This window comes from Homo sapiens, chromosome 13 (genome assembly GCF_000001405.40).
Source record: "Homo sapiens chromosome 13, GRCh38.p14 Primary Assembly".
Taxonomy (NCBI): Eukaryota; Metazoa; Chordata; class Mammalia; order Primates; family Hominidae; genus Homo; species Homo sapiens.
In genome coordinates, this window is record NC_000013.11 from 73755267 (window position 1) to 73770824 (window position 15558).

The following is a 15558-nucleotide window of genomic DNA, read 5'->3' on the forward strand; positions in this document are numbered from 1 at the left end:
TCTATTTTACAAAAATATCAATTTAATCCTATGATATATCCATTTATGAGGGTGTTCCAAATACATTACAGGATGGAAGAGAAGATTTAAAGAATCACAAAAACATGGTAACATACAAGTACATATTTATGTAATGTATTGAACTGCAGTCCTACCTAAATATACCCTCTAGCTCAGAATTCTCAACTGTTAGGTTTAGGAAAGGCTCGAGAGACCTGAAGGAAATTATAGCCTTGTTTACCCAATGCTGGGCATGTCAATGAATGTCCTAGGTGGTAGTAAGAGATTCCTTTTACATAAAGTTGAAATTTGATTGTGGGCTAATACTTAGGGTTGACAAAGCACTTTCTCTCTTTTTTTTTTTATTTCAATGGGTTTTTGGAGAACAGGTAGTGTTTGGCTACATAAATAAGTTATTTGGTGGTGATTTCTGAGATTTTGGTGCACCCATCACCTGAGCAGTGTACACTGTACCCTCACCACCCCCCCAACCCTTTCCCCCAAGTCCCCAAAGTCCATTCTATGATTCTTATGCTTTTGCGTCCTCATAGCTTAGCTGCCACTTATGAGTGAGAACATACGATGTTTGGTTTTCCATTCCTGAGTTACTTCACTTAGAATAATGGTCTCCTTTTACATTCAGATTGCTGCAAATGCTATTGTTTCATTCCTTTTTATGGCTGAGCAGCCTTCCATACTGTATATATACACCACATTTTCTTTATCCGCTTGTTGACTGATGGGCATTTGGGCTGGTTGCATATTTTTGCAATTGCAAACTGTGAAGCACTTTCTTTCAAGGTGATGCTATGAAGAGTCTTACCTCTTGGGGATTCTTTCAAGACCTAATTTGAATAGTCTGGGTCAGATATCATTTATTTATTGATTTAAGATAAATATAAATATTATTTATCTTAAAGAGCCATAAAGACTAATTTAGCATAAGTGAGAAATTTATACCAGAACCCAGCTTGTAGATCAAAGCTTTATGCATTTCATAGGCAGTTCCTCTGTTTTCTGCCTATCGTATATGTGATATCGCAATAACTACGTATGTTTGGTTTTAAAGGCTGCATTTTTAAATATGTGATGCCAAGTAGGGTTTTAGAGAAATGAAGGTTCAAAGTGATTAAGATCAACACTCTTAGGTTTCAAGGAGAATGCTGTCTATTTTGACTGAACATCCTTCATACATTTTGGCTACTCGATAACTAAGAGTAAGACCAAGGAGAAAGGACCTAGTAACTAATGATAGAGTGCTTTCACTTTCTAAAACGTAAGGCATTACGACCTTATGGAAAGCGTTAAAGCTTGTCATGGAAAAGCTACTACCCTTACGAGAGCTTTCAGGTAATTTAAAGGTAGGGCAAATTGATGGTTCTAATTTATAAAGAGTAGTCTTTCCCATCATTTTTTGGTACTAACACTTTTCCTTTGGGAAACTACTCCCACCTCATCTCATCTTTGTAGGATTGTAACCAAGGGCTGGGCACCTAACCCAGGACCAATCATACTCTAGCTTCCTCTATTGTGATTATTGAGGAGGTGACACAGAGGAACTAGAGCTGACCCCTCCCAGGCCTGTACCTGCTGATTAAATCTTGCTCCCTGGACCCTGGGTGCTGTCCTGGCTCCTGTGTTTCCTGAGGCCCAGATCCTCTTCTTTACTTTTGTCTCCATATAACCTACCTTATGTCCTGAAAAATCACCTTTTGCTTAAGGCAGCCATATTCAGTTAGTTTCCATTACTTCCAACAAAAGAACCCCATCTATACAGCATACATTATTTGGGTGATGGATACTCTAAAAGCCCTGACTTCACCTACACAATCCTATGCATGTAACAAAATTACACTTGTATCTCATAAATTTACACAAAAAAAGAACTTCATCTGATAAAAGGGACTAAACTAAATGAATATTTAGACAGAGATAACAGCCACAAGTAGACAGTGGATTTCAGCAGGGTCCTCAGCCCCTTAGCTATTAGTTAGCTGAGGGCTTATGTAAAACAGCTGTGACAAAACCTGTGTGATTCTGAGTTGGTTTAAATCTTTTTTATAAATACGTTGCACGCTATCTATTGCTCTCTTAAAACTAATTTAAAGAAATGTATTATTAGGATACTGGTCTTACCTTAGGCAAATCTTGTACTATGCCAAGAAATGTAATAAATAGCTAGTTTCAGGGAAATTACTAAGAAACTTTATGAAGATCTGGTGGTCAACTGAGAAAAATTATATTGAGGTAAGAATATGTTTGATTTTAAAATTGCTAGTTCACTGTCCATGTGTATACGGAGAAATCTCTGTAGCTAGAAAGATGACATTGCAAATGTGACCAGCAGATGAAAACCAGAACAAAACTGCTGGCACATGGAGCATTCCTGCAGGGAACCCCTTAAGATTTATTATCCTGAGCAGTATTTCCAGCAAATGCATGAACACATTCAGATTTTTGATTGGGTTCCAATTTTAGTCATTATTCTTTCAAATGCATATTTAGAAGACAGCCATGGATTATAATTGATAGCCAATTTTTTCAGCCCAAATATATCCACTGAAAAATACTATGAAAGATGAAGAAAGGATGTGGCTTCTTTCTATATATATGAAATAAAATCCTTCTTCATTTTAAGTTGATATGTTAATTAAACATGGTTGGTACTGGTTCTATCACAGATACATATATTTTTTCATATTGAGACACAGTCTTTTTTTCTGTATCAGTCATTTATGACTCCCCACATTCCCTTCTTCATGTTTCATTATGACATGACCATTGCTTTGAGTTTTAATTTTTCTTTTTTTTAGAGACAGGGGTTGGTCTTGCTATGTTGCCTGGGCTGGTCTTGAACTCCTGGGCTCAAGGGATCCTCCTGCCTCAGTCTCTCAAGTCTCTGGGATTACAGGAACCGGTCTACTGCACCCAGCTATTTTAAAGTTCTACATCTGGACAACTTTAAAAGGAAGAGGTTTGGGATGGAGAATAACCCACATCATACAATTTAAACCCCTATAAGAAGCAGTAGTTTAAGCAGCTTTGCTAGAGTAAATCATGATTTCAGACTGTGTGAATTTTAAATTTCCTCTGCTGTATAAAACCACTGTAAGAACAAAAATAGACAACAATAGACTACAAACCCCAGAATTACAAAGTTGTTTGGAATTGTTAACAATATTGCCTGTTCATGCTGTAATTAGTTAGTATGACGGAGATGTTTTATTACATGATAGCACCACACCTGGGTACAGTGTTGGGAAGATACCAGGAATCAACAAAGAGTACAATGACATGTCTTATGGGTTCACATGTTAGGTTTCCAGTACAATATTAATATGGTTCTGAGCCGCAGGTTGATAAACTATTCCTGGGTTTTTAATATGAAAATGTCTCAGAAGTGGTTACCTTTATGGCCTCAGCATGATCTTACAGCCTTAATTCTCCTATAATTAGGGAAATAATTACAGAAAATTATCTACTTTAATTTTTTTCCCTTATATCATCTTTACTGTTACTAAAGAAATACTAGAGACAAAATCAGCTGATACCAGCAGGAATATAGAAACTACTTTTATCATGAATCTCTCTTGCTGAAATTCTGGGTGATAGAGAAGTTAAGAAAATTAGGCCAAAGTTCTTTCATACGGTCACTTTGGAAGACAGAACATAAGTCTGAAGTGTAAGTAACTGTCCCCAAGCTAAATTTGAGGAGGTAAAGTCATTAAAGAAATTAATAGGTGATACTGCATTATAGCCAAGAAAAGATGAGAATTTGGAGGGATTTAAAATGTAACACCACCCTGCAGGCACTTCTTTTTATTGTAATTCAGCACATATACAGAGAACTTGCAAGCAGGTTAACGATGACATCAACTATGGCCCATTTTCCAAATCTCCTATCAAACTTTGGAGACAGCATGCTTCCAAACCAAACCTAAAGGTAACCTTCTGTGACTTATTTGCCAACACGCATGGCTTAAAAAGACCATGAAGGCTTTGCATTCTTGGAACTGGAATTTCCACATATTAAAGTCCATGCATAATATAATTTTTGCTCTGTAAGTCAAGAAGCAAGGCAGTGAAATACTCTAGTAATTAAAATTAAAAAATCAATATTATCTATAAATAATGAGCATGCAAGGATCTGTAAGATGATGAGTAAACATTTTGGCAGGGAGTAAGTGCCACATACTGGTGTGAGGAGCAACGTCTTCATTAAGCTTCTCCTATTTCTCCTTGCTCTCCCATCCCATCAATCTAATGGGAATTTCCCAGGCAAAAGCCTTCTGCTTAGCTTGTAATGAATTAAACATTCACATTTCTCTTGCTCTCTGCACAGGTGGACAACTGCCACGTCATGGAAAGACTACTGGATACGCATGCAGAGGCCTGGATGAACAGGCACAGAGAGGCTTGGATTTATGCCTAGGTTTGGCATGTAACGTTTTTGTCTGGGGGCCTCCATTTGTAAGGTAAGGAGGTTGAACTGCGCTTGATGATGCTTGCATTTCCTTTATAGCCTTGAAGTTGGTAATTTGGAAATGCTCTGTCCCTCCTCAAAAGACTGTTCTACATTAGATTTCTGAGAGATTTCCAATATCTACAACTTCAGTGCCTTCCTCTGTTAAGGAAAAAGGTTTAAGCAAGAAAGAATGTTCTCATTTTTATGACAAAACTCTCCAAGTTATATCCCTCAAAAAGATTCCATGAAGTCATGTCTAACATTTGCAACTGCATGAATATAAATATTTAAGTTCACTGTAGCACCATACATCCACACTAAAACATTGAAGTGTGAAAAGGCTCTTCCTGCCCTCCACAAAAATTTGTGACACAGAACTTTTTCACACCCAAATGTGAAAAATGATTCACACCCGGAATGCATCATAATTTGCATAGAGACCTCATTAACACTGGAGACTTTTTGTGTATATAGCTACATAAAATCTTAGGCACATTAGTAATAAATAAATAATAATAGAGACTGGTAGTGGCAGCATCCAATTGGTTAGAGAAAACTACAAAATTACTTCTATTTTACTAATGACAATTCCTACATATATAGTTTTTTCACAGAGTCTTGCTCTGTTGCCCAGGCTGGAATGAGGTGGCACAATCATACCTCACTGTAGCCTTGAATTCCTGGGCTCAAGGCTCCTGCTTCAGCCTCCTGAGTAGCTAGGACTACAGGTGCATACCATCACGCCTGGCTAATTTTAAAAGGAAATAAAAAATAGTGAGCTGGCGTCTCACTATGTTGCCCAGCTGGTCTTAAACTCCTGGGCTCAGGCAATTCTTCAGCTTCAGCCTCCCAAAGTGCTGGGATCACAGGTGTGAGCCACCACATTTGGCCAATGATTACTATTAATAACGCTGTATTTCCTATGTTATCATACAAATAGCCCATAAAGTTTGTATTATGTGACTCCCACTACCACTGTTACACAACAGCCCTTGATACTGGTTTTAGGTACACAGCACAATCACTACCGCCACCATTATCAAGCAACGACACATGCCCAAGTCCTTTAAAACCTTAAAAATGGAGCAGGATAGAGCAAGAAGTGGAGAGGAAAAAAGAAAGTGAAAATCTAAAGATGGAGCATACATAAATGTGCACGTCTTTAGAATATGAACATGGATTCTGGAAATTTCTGGAGCCTTAAGTCAACTGCAATAATTGGTTCACAGATATTTCCCACTAAACACCACCCTGTCCTATGCCAGCCTACACAGACACACCAAAATGTAGCTTAAAGATTTCTGTTATATCTTTAGGAATAAAACAGCTGAATATGACCTGGAAACAGCTGCTCTCCTGTGGGTCTGATATTAGGATATAATCATTTCAATTAAAAAGATCTGCCAAGAATAAAAGTCTATCTTCACATTCAACTCTCTAATAAGAATTTTCCACATTTGGCTCAAATGCAGAAAAATAGATTTTTTCTGGCATTACTGTATGCAAGAAAGAGTGGCAAATATTCTAAAAATGGTTTATAATGTGAAGGGTAGTAGAATATGCCACTTCAAAATTTGCCACTTCAGCCTAAGAATTATTATGAGCTACAGGCAATGAAAAAGGAGGAGACACAAGAAAAAGTCTCTGCTCTCCTTCTTTCTACCAGGAAGGGCAAGGCAATTCTTAATCACTGGAGACAACTCTCCTGTATCAACCCAGAGATGGCATCAGAGGAATCTGCACAACACATCTCATTATCCCTTATTTCCCATTAGTTTCTCCCGCTTATTTACCTTCCTACAATTGCACGCCCTTGAAGCTCAAAATCCTTTTCCTCTGTCTTTTTCACTTCTCTAAAAAACTGTCTTTTTGTTGTTGTTGTTGCTAAGATGCTCTAAAGGTCCAAGCTCTAACCACCCCTCTGGGTTACTCATGCCCATGTGTGTATGTAAATACACATGTTAATAAACTTCTGCTCATTTTTCTTTGTTAATCTGTCTTTTGTCAGTTTAATTTACAGGGCCCCAGCCAATAAACCTAAGATGGGTAGAAGGAAAAGAGGTTTTTACTTCCCTACCACAGTCACTGGAGAAAGGAAGGCATGCTCACTTCCATTTAGGGACAAGGGTGAAGGTAAAGAGGAGCGGTCTGATGAAATAGAGAATGAAATTCACACGACCAAACCCCAAAGGCTTCATCAATCTTCAAATCAGTAAATGTTCCTAGTGCATGGTGGTACTGAGGGGACAAACTTTCTGATGAACAGAGTTTATGTCTGGCCTGGCTTGCTACCTTTAATTAATTCAATACTAAATGAGTTGTACAATGATCTGGTATTTGTTATTGGGGTGCTAATATACCCGCAAGAAGTTCTTATTGCCATTCTTTAATCCCTTGGAGTTAGCAGGCAGTTATAGCAAGCCTGAATCCACTCCAACATATGTCGTTGGGCCTCTTAGGCCCTGGCACTCTCGTTTCCTCCCTGGGTATGTACAATATTACCACACTTTCAATTCCAGTGGATTTTGTTTGCCTTATACAGATATTCTTTTTCTTCAGCTCCAGAGGAAATGTTCCCAGATGAACAAGGCCAGCAGATGCTGCCTCTCGTAACAATATCATGCAAAGAAAAATGCTAGTTAAAAGTTTAAACCATCTTAACTCAATAATAAACACTGGTTTGGGAACTCAACAACAGCCATAGGCTTTCCCAACCTACTGATTTTCATACCTTACCTATACATACCTTAATAGTGTTAAGTTGGAGGCTTTTCTTCTTTTCCTGAACTTTAATTACTTATTTGATGAACACAATTTTTTAATTGATTGGGGTATTTGCTAAGCTACCTTCACAAAAATCACTGTTCCTAATTCTCAAATACAGTGTTTGCGGGTTGAACCCAAGCCAGAGCCAAGCTAGTGTTGAACTTGACATGTAATCCTACAAATTACCCAGTTGATAGATGGGGGACAGCAACTATCACTTTCCCTTCCTCTTCATTGCCAGCGTGAGTCTTTAAACTTTCTGAATTTTCAGGGCCAATATTTCACTAAGAAATAACAAGTGTTTATCACTTTACTAGAAGTACAGGCTGGGTGATTCATGGGGCTTCTTCCTAGCCAGGTGATTTATTTCCATATACTAGACTCACAGTATTTACCTAAGGAAGATTCAAGGTAGTATATATCATAGAAATCTTAGCTAGCTTATGACCAAATAACGTACACGTATTAAATCCATGTATGCTCCTACTAGAGTCAATTTGGAAATATCTCCAGGTCTTTCTATGCGTGCATCAATCTATAAAGGAAACACTAGCTCAACTCTGCTTTTCTTACTAATTCTAGGTCTTTGCTCAAAAGCTTTCTTCTTTGGGATGGATTTTCTGACAGCCTTGTTCCTTCCTTTATATTCCACCCCCTCCCAAGTATGAACTCTCAAATTAGTCTTAAATAAAGCTGCTAACTTCTCCTTCTAAACATTATATTATAAATATATCTCCTTAGAGCTTTACCCACATTGTATATTATGTGCTTGTGTGATATCGTATATGTGCCTGTGTATGTGACATCACACACACATACACATACACATCTGCCCTGCAAGACAGGTAGGCCCTTGAGGATAGAAACCATGTTTTATTTATCTTTCTAATCTAGTGCTTCTTACAGTGCCTGGGACTGTAAATAAATGTTGCTGAATAAATAAAAGTTGAATTTTCTCAAGGCCAGTAGTAAACATCACTTTTGTTTTCCATGGATTACTTCTCTGGAGATACAAGAGGTTTACACTTACTAAACAAATAACATGCTATGAATTATGCAGGAACATCATTACTTCAATACTTCAGAGAGGAAAAGTCAAGAAAAGAAACTCTGTTATTTACTCCATGTTTTACATTTAGCCATTGAGAACCAAGTTATGGAAACTGGATCTCATACCTGACAACTCTGTACTCTACCCATTAGCTTGTGGCGTGTGATAAGTCAAGAACAGACCTGATTTGTCCCTTTCCTTTCACATAATGATCATCATATTATTACTCCCTTAGCTTTTCAGGCCGGACAGGGGATAACATGCTTTAGCAATGGTAAGAGACGAGGAAGGATGCCCCGGCTCTGAGGCAAGGTGTAAGCAAACGCCTCTGTGCCCCATTTCCCCCTCTGTGAAAAAGAAAAGCACAATATTTAACAACATCGCCAAGCTATTGTGAGAATTAATTAGATTTCGTGGGGGAAGGGAGGTGAGATGATTAGGCATGATTCAAATTCAAAGTGTCATTATTTTGTGTCTAAAAATAATCTTGATTTAGGAATAAAATTAATTTGGAAGCTCAATCTTTGGTGATCATCTTCCCATACTTAAAAAAAGGCATAGTTTTAATCAAAATCTCATTCTAACTATAATTCAATGAAGTAAAAATGGAATTTCCATTCATCTTTGAAGTAATACAGCCACAGTTCATTTTTTTCTTTTTAGTTTTTCTTTTTTTTCCTTAATAACACATTATGTGTTAAAAGGTTAACTTTGTGGAATGGAGTAATATAAACAAATACAGATATTGAGCCCACTTTTTTTGTTGTTTCGCATGAAATATTTGTGAAACACTTTAAATCGCTTCTCTAAAGAATCGATAAGCTATGTTTTCTGGTTGAAATAACTTTTCAGGTTGTTTCTGCAAAATTCCATCTATATTTTTGTTCAAGAACTCATCAGTTAAAGAAGATCTTAGTACTCCCCAAATTAAAAAAAAAAAAAATCCTGGATATTTAAGGCTATGGCAAGGAAAAAAAAAATCACTGAGTTCGTTGTAATCCCCAAAACTAATGTAACAGATTCATTAACTGTGGAAATCTTCATGAGGAGTTGAAGTTGGTATCTGAGAAATATCTGGGTCTATGTACCTTCGAAAAAAAGGAAAACATTCTTTAAAATAGGTAAGAGTTTATAATCTTGGGAACTTAGATCATATCTGTCAAAAAAAAAAGTTACACTCAGGGTTTTTGGTGAATGAAGAGTTTGGGCTGGAAAGGAACTCTATCAATATTTATTTCGAACTGTCCAGAGGAAAGGAAGACCGCATAGTCCAGTTAGCAGGTATGTACTCTGTATAGAGAAGTAGGACTAATTCTCTTAATTTTAACATAAGCCCTATTAAAGTTTCCCGTAAGACCTACAAATACTCATATTAGACTGTATACTCACCAAGGAAACTTTTGATTATTCATTCGATTGCCCCGGACCCTTGATACTGGGGACGGATGTACCCTGTAGACAGAGAAGAATAATCCAGTCATTGAAAAAGCATATTCCCAATTGCAAATTTAAAAAAATGGCATGTTTTATAAATAATTTCTTTTAGAATTGCTTAATACAAAATCCCCAGAACTTGAACCCCTCTTAGTAAATGATGCAATTAAATTCCTACGCCTGCAAATCTGTGGTCCTTTTTTCCTTCTTAACCACTCTCAAGACAACAGGTCTGTCATAATGTTCACTCTGAAGACTCCCAGAGGCAGGACTGATGCATTCATTCAGTCCAACAAAAGTGACTGAATACCTAACCCTTGCCAGGTACAAGGGTGGGTAAAAGTTATCTAAGGTATGGTGCCTGAGTTCAGTGAGCCCTCTTTGTACCTGTTCCCATGAGGGTGGGCACAAAGAGGTGTCTAAGTGCCCTCTCCTTCACTCTACCACATTTAAAACTCTAGGAAGCAAACAACGTTATTCAAATGTGCTGTGACAGAATCTGCAGGCACAGGGAAGGAAGGAAGGGTGAACAGGTACTCCTAGGAGGAGTACATTCTGGAAGTGATGTGCTACACTGGACTTTGAAGAAAGTAAAGTCAATTCAAAATTTTAGCCAGATAAAGGAGAAGTGAAGAATATATTGCTTTCCAAGCTTCCAGGATTGGACTTATCCACTGGAAACAGCTTAAAGCTTCCGGGAACTGCTGTTATCTTCTAATCAAAGCCTAGCTAGTAAACCTCCGCCTCTTTGTGGGTCACTAACCGGCAAAACAATACGCCCTACTTCCGGCTGCCAGCTTCCTGTTATGGTCTGTCTTTAGCCAGGATTTGTGAGATCCAAGCAGTCTTAGCTTGTATTACCTTCACCCTTTATGCTTCATACATTGCTCTTATTTACAAGAAAAAAAATGGGGATATAAAACTGGTCTTAAAGTCCAGTTAGAACCAAGGTTTGTAAGAAACCCAGTTCTCTGTAGTTGTTTAATAAGTGAAAATCATTCCAAAACAGATAATGCAGTTCCAGCCCCGCCTAAGGGCCAACTGCAGTCTTTCCCTAAACCCAGAGCCAGACTGCACTTTGCACTCGGAAGGCTTATTTCTTCCAACATCCCTTATTAACATTCTTTTCCTCACAGCGCTTCTCAATGGCTGCTGCAGCTGAGCTGCTCAGCACAGATTTTCTGCTCGGCATGGGGGAGGGGGTGTTAATTATGCAGAAAGATGGAGAGAGGCCAGACAGCCCCTCTGGTGAACTGTCTCATTCAAGCACGGCCCACTTCCTGCTGTTTTGCAGCTACAAGGATCACCTGTTGGTCTCGGCGTCCAGCCAAACTGGGGCCTAGTGGAAATGACAGACTCAGCTAGAAATGAAAGCCAGTTCATAATCCAGTATCCTAAATTGGACAAAGAGGGGGAAAACGCAATAATAGTACATAAAAATTATACGAAAGGCAGCAAGCGTAATTTTTTCCTCTTTTATTCTTTTACTTTTTTACTTTCTGTCTGCTTGAAATACAATCCTTAAAATGGATATTTGAGCCAAAAAAGTTCTCCCCAGTTAAAGCCCCCTGACCTAAGAGGAAGTGCAGGAAATTCTCCTGAACTTTCCCTATACCCTCACTGGGGTATCAGAATCCTAACTATTTAAATAAAGTTTAATCAGCCCCAAATACTCACAGTTCTTTAATTTGTTCTCTATCTTTTACACATTTACTTTTTATATTGTCCCCTCCTTAACCCTAGGAGTACAAAGAAACTATTTCATCATGAAAATTCCACTGGGTGAAGTTTAATGACAGAAGTATTCTCTTATTGATGCTGTTTATTGCATATATTAGTGAAGAAAAAGAGAGTCTGTTTAATCCATAATTACAACATTGTCTAGGTATTTGTATCTTTTAGGAAAATTTCACTGATCCATAGATCAAATACTGCAAATGGAGAATTTCTATAATGGTTTAGCAGTCTCAGGAAAAGAATTCCTTAGGAAAGTCTTTGGAAAAGAAGTCCTGATTGTGTATATGAACAAATAATTACAAGGTTTCCTAAATTAAAAAGGTAAATCAACAAAGCTTTATTTCTGTCCTCAAAGGGAATAAGTACACTGATAACTTGGCACATACTTCATCTGATAAAGTAGACCATAAGCCTTGCACTTCACCAACCCCCTATATATTATTTCTTCAAAAGGATATGGCATGTTTTTTTGAGCTCAGTCTTTAACCTGTGACACTTTTTGCCATCTTCTGCCTTCTTTCCACATATAGAAGCCAGGCAGGTAGCAACGTCAAAACCTCTGTAGGAGAAACCACCACCTAATCTGCATGTCATGCATTATTCATGACCTCCTGATTCTTGCACCTGCATCTAGGCAGGAAGCTTGCAGGGAATGTTCATTATTCTTCCCTTAGCCTCACACAGGCTCGATTACTGCTAAGCCACTTTGTTCTGTAACTAAGGGGTTCAGGCCTTAGTACTAACTGCTGGATGTGGAAAGAAAAAACACCACGCTGAACAAAAGGGCAATCTTGGTTGTTGTGTAACATGTATTGAATGTGCTCTTCTGAGACTGACAGTTTGTCAGGTAGAAATGCTCACATTTGGTGATTTACATTACATAGAAAACAGGGAAGCTATACCATTAGGGCCATGTGTACCAACTGTTCTATTTATATACACTTACTCATCTGGAGCAGAGAGCATGTTTATAATTTTACCCAGTGCAGAGCTTAATTTAGCTTTCTTGCTAAGCATATGAGAACTTTTTAGATGACTTAATACAAAAACGGCTCTTTCTTCTTTGGGTATAAGCACCAAAGAACCTGACTCTCAAAACCTTGCATCTTAATGACTGCCATTTATAGTTAATCAAGAGAATACCATCACTCTGGTTTTCAATGTTTTCATAAACCTACCTGAGTGGCACCCCCTGGTGACTGGAGGTGGGATGCAACATCTTGATTCCCAACACAAATCATCAGCACTCATGAATTGCTGGGGGAAGGATACTGGTCCCACTTTACTATCTGCACCACAGAAAAGCTGTGATAACTTAATGCAATCTTATCATCCCAAATGGAATTAGGATGAAGTGGTTAAGAGTGAAAATTGTGTGACCAGCCTGCCTGACTGAATCCCAGCTTCACCGTTTACCAACGGTGTCATCTTTGGGCAAGTTATTTAACCTCTCTGTGCCTCAGTTTCCTCATCAGGGCAAATGGAGGTAATAATGGGGCCTATTACCTAGGGCTGCGAGGTTTAAATCAGTTAACAGCTATAAAATCTTTAGAATGGTGCTCAGTACTTAGGAAGCAGTCAATACATGTTAGCTATTGTCACTAGCAGTGCTGATTAGACATGAAAGGATGGGAAGTCAGAGGATAGAGCTGGACTATCCAGGTAATTCCAGGGGATTAAGATTACAAATATGCTCTACAGAGCCTGCAGTCTTACCTACTGTGCTTATACAACTTTACTAAAGGCGAGAAAACAAACCAAGAAATAAACATGGGCAGAATAATACAAACCAAAAACTATGGCTTATAAGGTATGGCTTACTCTCAGGCAGCTCATTTTTTTCTGCTCTTTATTAGAAGACCTATCTTCTGTGTACTAAACTGCACAGTATTTAAGTTATGACCCATTCAAGAACAAGACAGTAATCACGGCAATGCAAATTTGCACCCATTTACAGAGCCCTTACTATTTGCTTGGTATCATGCTAAATAATTAAGACATATTATCTTAATTTATCCTCATGTCATTACTGTCCACATTTTATCTTTGAGAAAATAGGCTTAGAAGATTAGGTAACTTGCTGGGGTCACGTAGGTAGTAAAGAGAAAAGTCAGGATTTAAACACAGGTACGTCTGACCTGTCTGACCTGTCTTACATCATGGATGATATAAGATTATCATCTGATACTTATATATATTCCCTCCACCCAGCCCAGAGGATGTAATAAGATGAATTAGCACCAGGGTCTTAAATAGGAAATTTTCCATGTATTTAAGCCCAATTGAACATTTTATAATATAAGTAGATATAAAGTGGAAGTAATGGTTTTCTTGGACTAAATATGAAGCATGTGGGTACTTATAAGAAGCACAGTCATAATAATATACTTTATCTCTTTAATTGTTTATGAATGTTCCTTGTTATATTAGCATTGCTATTTAAATACATAATGTACAACACATGTAAATTTTAGAGGGCAGAAATTAATTCTAGCTATAGCCATGCTTCCTCACATTCCATTTTCTCTAGAATCCAATGTAGTTGGTATCCACACCGCTCTGATGAAACTGCCCTCATCACAGCCATCAATAGTCTCCATGTTTTCAAATCTAATGGTGAATTCTTAGTCCTCAACTTCTCAGCAGCAACTGACATAAATTATCACTCCATTCTTGAACAGCTTCTTTACTCAGCAGCCAAGACATTCTTCTGGCTTTCCTCCTTTCTTTCTCCTTTGCTTGAACCTCCTCCTCTCATTCTTTCAAACTCTAAATGTTGGCATGGGCTAGTTGTCACTGTCCTATAACCTTTCCTCTCCACTATTTAAACTCACTCTGTAGCTAAAAGAGGCTCCAACTGAGCTACCATCATGACCTTCCCATCCACATCATCACGACTCCCAAATGTCTACCTCCAGCCTTAGATCTTCTCTGAAAACCAGACCCAGGTTTCTTAATATCAACCTTTCTCTGAAAGAAACAAACAAAAAAAAAGATGTTCCTTCTGGTATCTTCTCAATTTCAAAAATGTTGGAATTATTCACTCAGTTGCTCAGGCCAAAAACCCTTAGAATAACATGTGAGTCCACTTGTGCTCACACCCCATAAATTAGAGAGGCTGTTTCATACTGAGAAGAATGAGAATAAATGATTATTCCACAGACCAATGAAATCTTTCTTGTAGGACATTACTCATCTAGCAAGACTAGATATTTTATACCAAGATTATAAGAAATTATTATGTACAAATACGTTCTTTTTCTAAAACCATTTAGGTTATATAATCATTAACCTATATTTTAATTAGGTTAATGATTAAATGATTATCTATACATTGTGCAAAGCATTAAACATAATACATACTTTAACAACTCAGTTTACTACATTTGCTGAAGAAAAGATTAACCTAAAATAACTCCACAATTACTAAATATCAGAATTTTCCTATGCAGAATTATATAAAAGATAATTTAAAAATAATTCTTGGTATTGCTTTCTTCTTACACTCGGTTGTACTGAATACAAGTTCTCCTGATGATTTAGGTTACTCTAGATGTTATTTTAATATAAACACACTACCCATGACCAAATAAAAATATGAGTGTGACCAGTGTTTAAATTCAGTGGGCCTATTTTATTCTCAGGTTTTCCTCAGGCCAGTGATTAAATGACTATTAGAAATGCCATATATTTTTAAAAGGTTCTCCATCTGCCTTTATACTAAAATTTCTCTCATGAAAAGCCATTTATGTTACTTTTAGAAAAGTGGGCTGAACTTAAATATTATATACAATTAATATGTGAACTTTTTTTTTTTTTTTGAGATGGAGTCTTCCTCTGTCACCCAGGCTGGAGTGCAGTGGTGCCATCTTGGCTCACTGAAACCTCTGCCTCCCTGGCTCAAGCAATTCTCCTGCCTCAGCCTCCTGAGTAGCTGGGATTACAGGCATGCGCCACCTGTAATGGCTAATTTTTGTATTTTTAGTAGAGATGGCGTTTCACCATGTTGGCCAGGATGGTCTCCAACTCCTGAACTCAAATGATCCTCCTGCCTCAGCCTCCCAAAGTGCTGGGATTACAGGCGTGAACCACCATGCCCAGCCAA

General features: G+C 37.8%; 1 protein-coding gene across 20 annotated transcripts in view, besides 2 other annotated features; it reads right to left on the minus strand.

Annotated features, from left to right (window-relative positions):
* The window catches only part of KLF12 (KLF transcription factor 12), a 619957-nt gene that overhangs the window by 69178 nt on the left and 535221 nt on the right, over positions 1 to 15558 (minus strand). For 19 of the 20 annotated variants that reach the window (NM_001400153.1, NM_001400139.1, XM_011534909.3 and 16 more), the window contains one exon: positions 9672 to 9734. The exons of the other annotated variant lie outside the window; for it this stretch is intronic. In NM_001400153.1, the coding sequence (NP_001387082.1) occupies positions 9672 to 9734 (63 nt within the window). The remainder of the gene's footprint in view (positions 1 to 9671; positions 9735 to 15558) is intronic. 20 annotated transcript variants of the gene reach the window in all.
* Positions 10725 to 11225: an enhancer, noted in NCBI's record as "NANOG-H3K27ac hESC enhancer chr13:74340128-74340628 (GRCh37/hg19 assembly coordinates)". NCBI's record gives its function as "activates a minimal SCP1, AML or CMV promoter by ChIP-STARR-seq in naive H9 embryonic stem cells {active_cell/tissue: H9 hESC(naive)}" and the evidence as "EXISTENCE:reporter gene assay evidence [ECO:0000049][PMID:30033119]".
* Positions 12219 to 12854: an enhancer, noted in NCBI's record as "OCT4-NANOG hESC enhancer chr13:74341622-74342257 (GRCh37/hg19 assembly coordinates)". NCBI's record gives its function as "activates a minimal SCP1, AML or CMV promoter by ChIP-STARR-seq in primed H9 embryonic stem cells {active_cell/tissue: H9 hESC(primed)}" and the evidence as "EXISTENCE:reporter gene assay evidence [ECO:0000049][PMID:30033119]".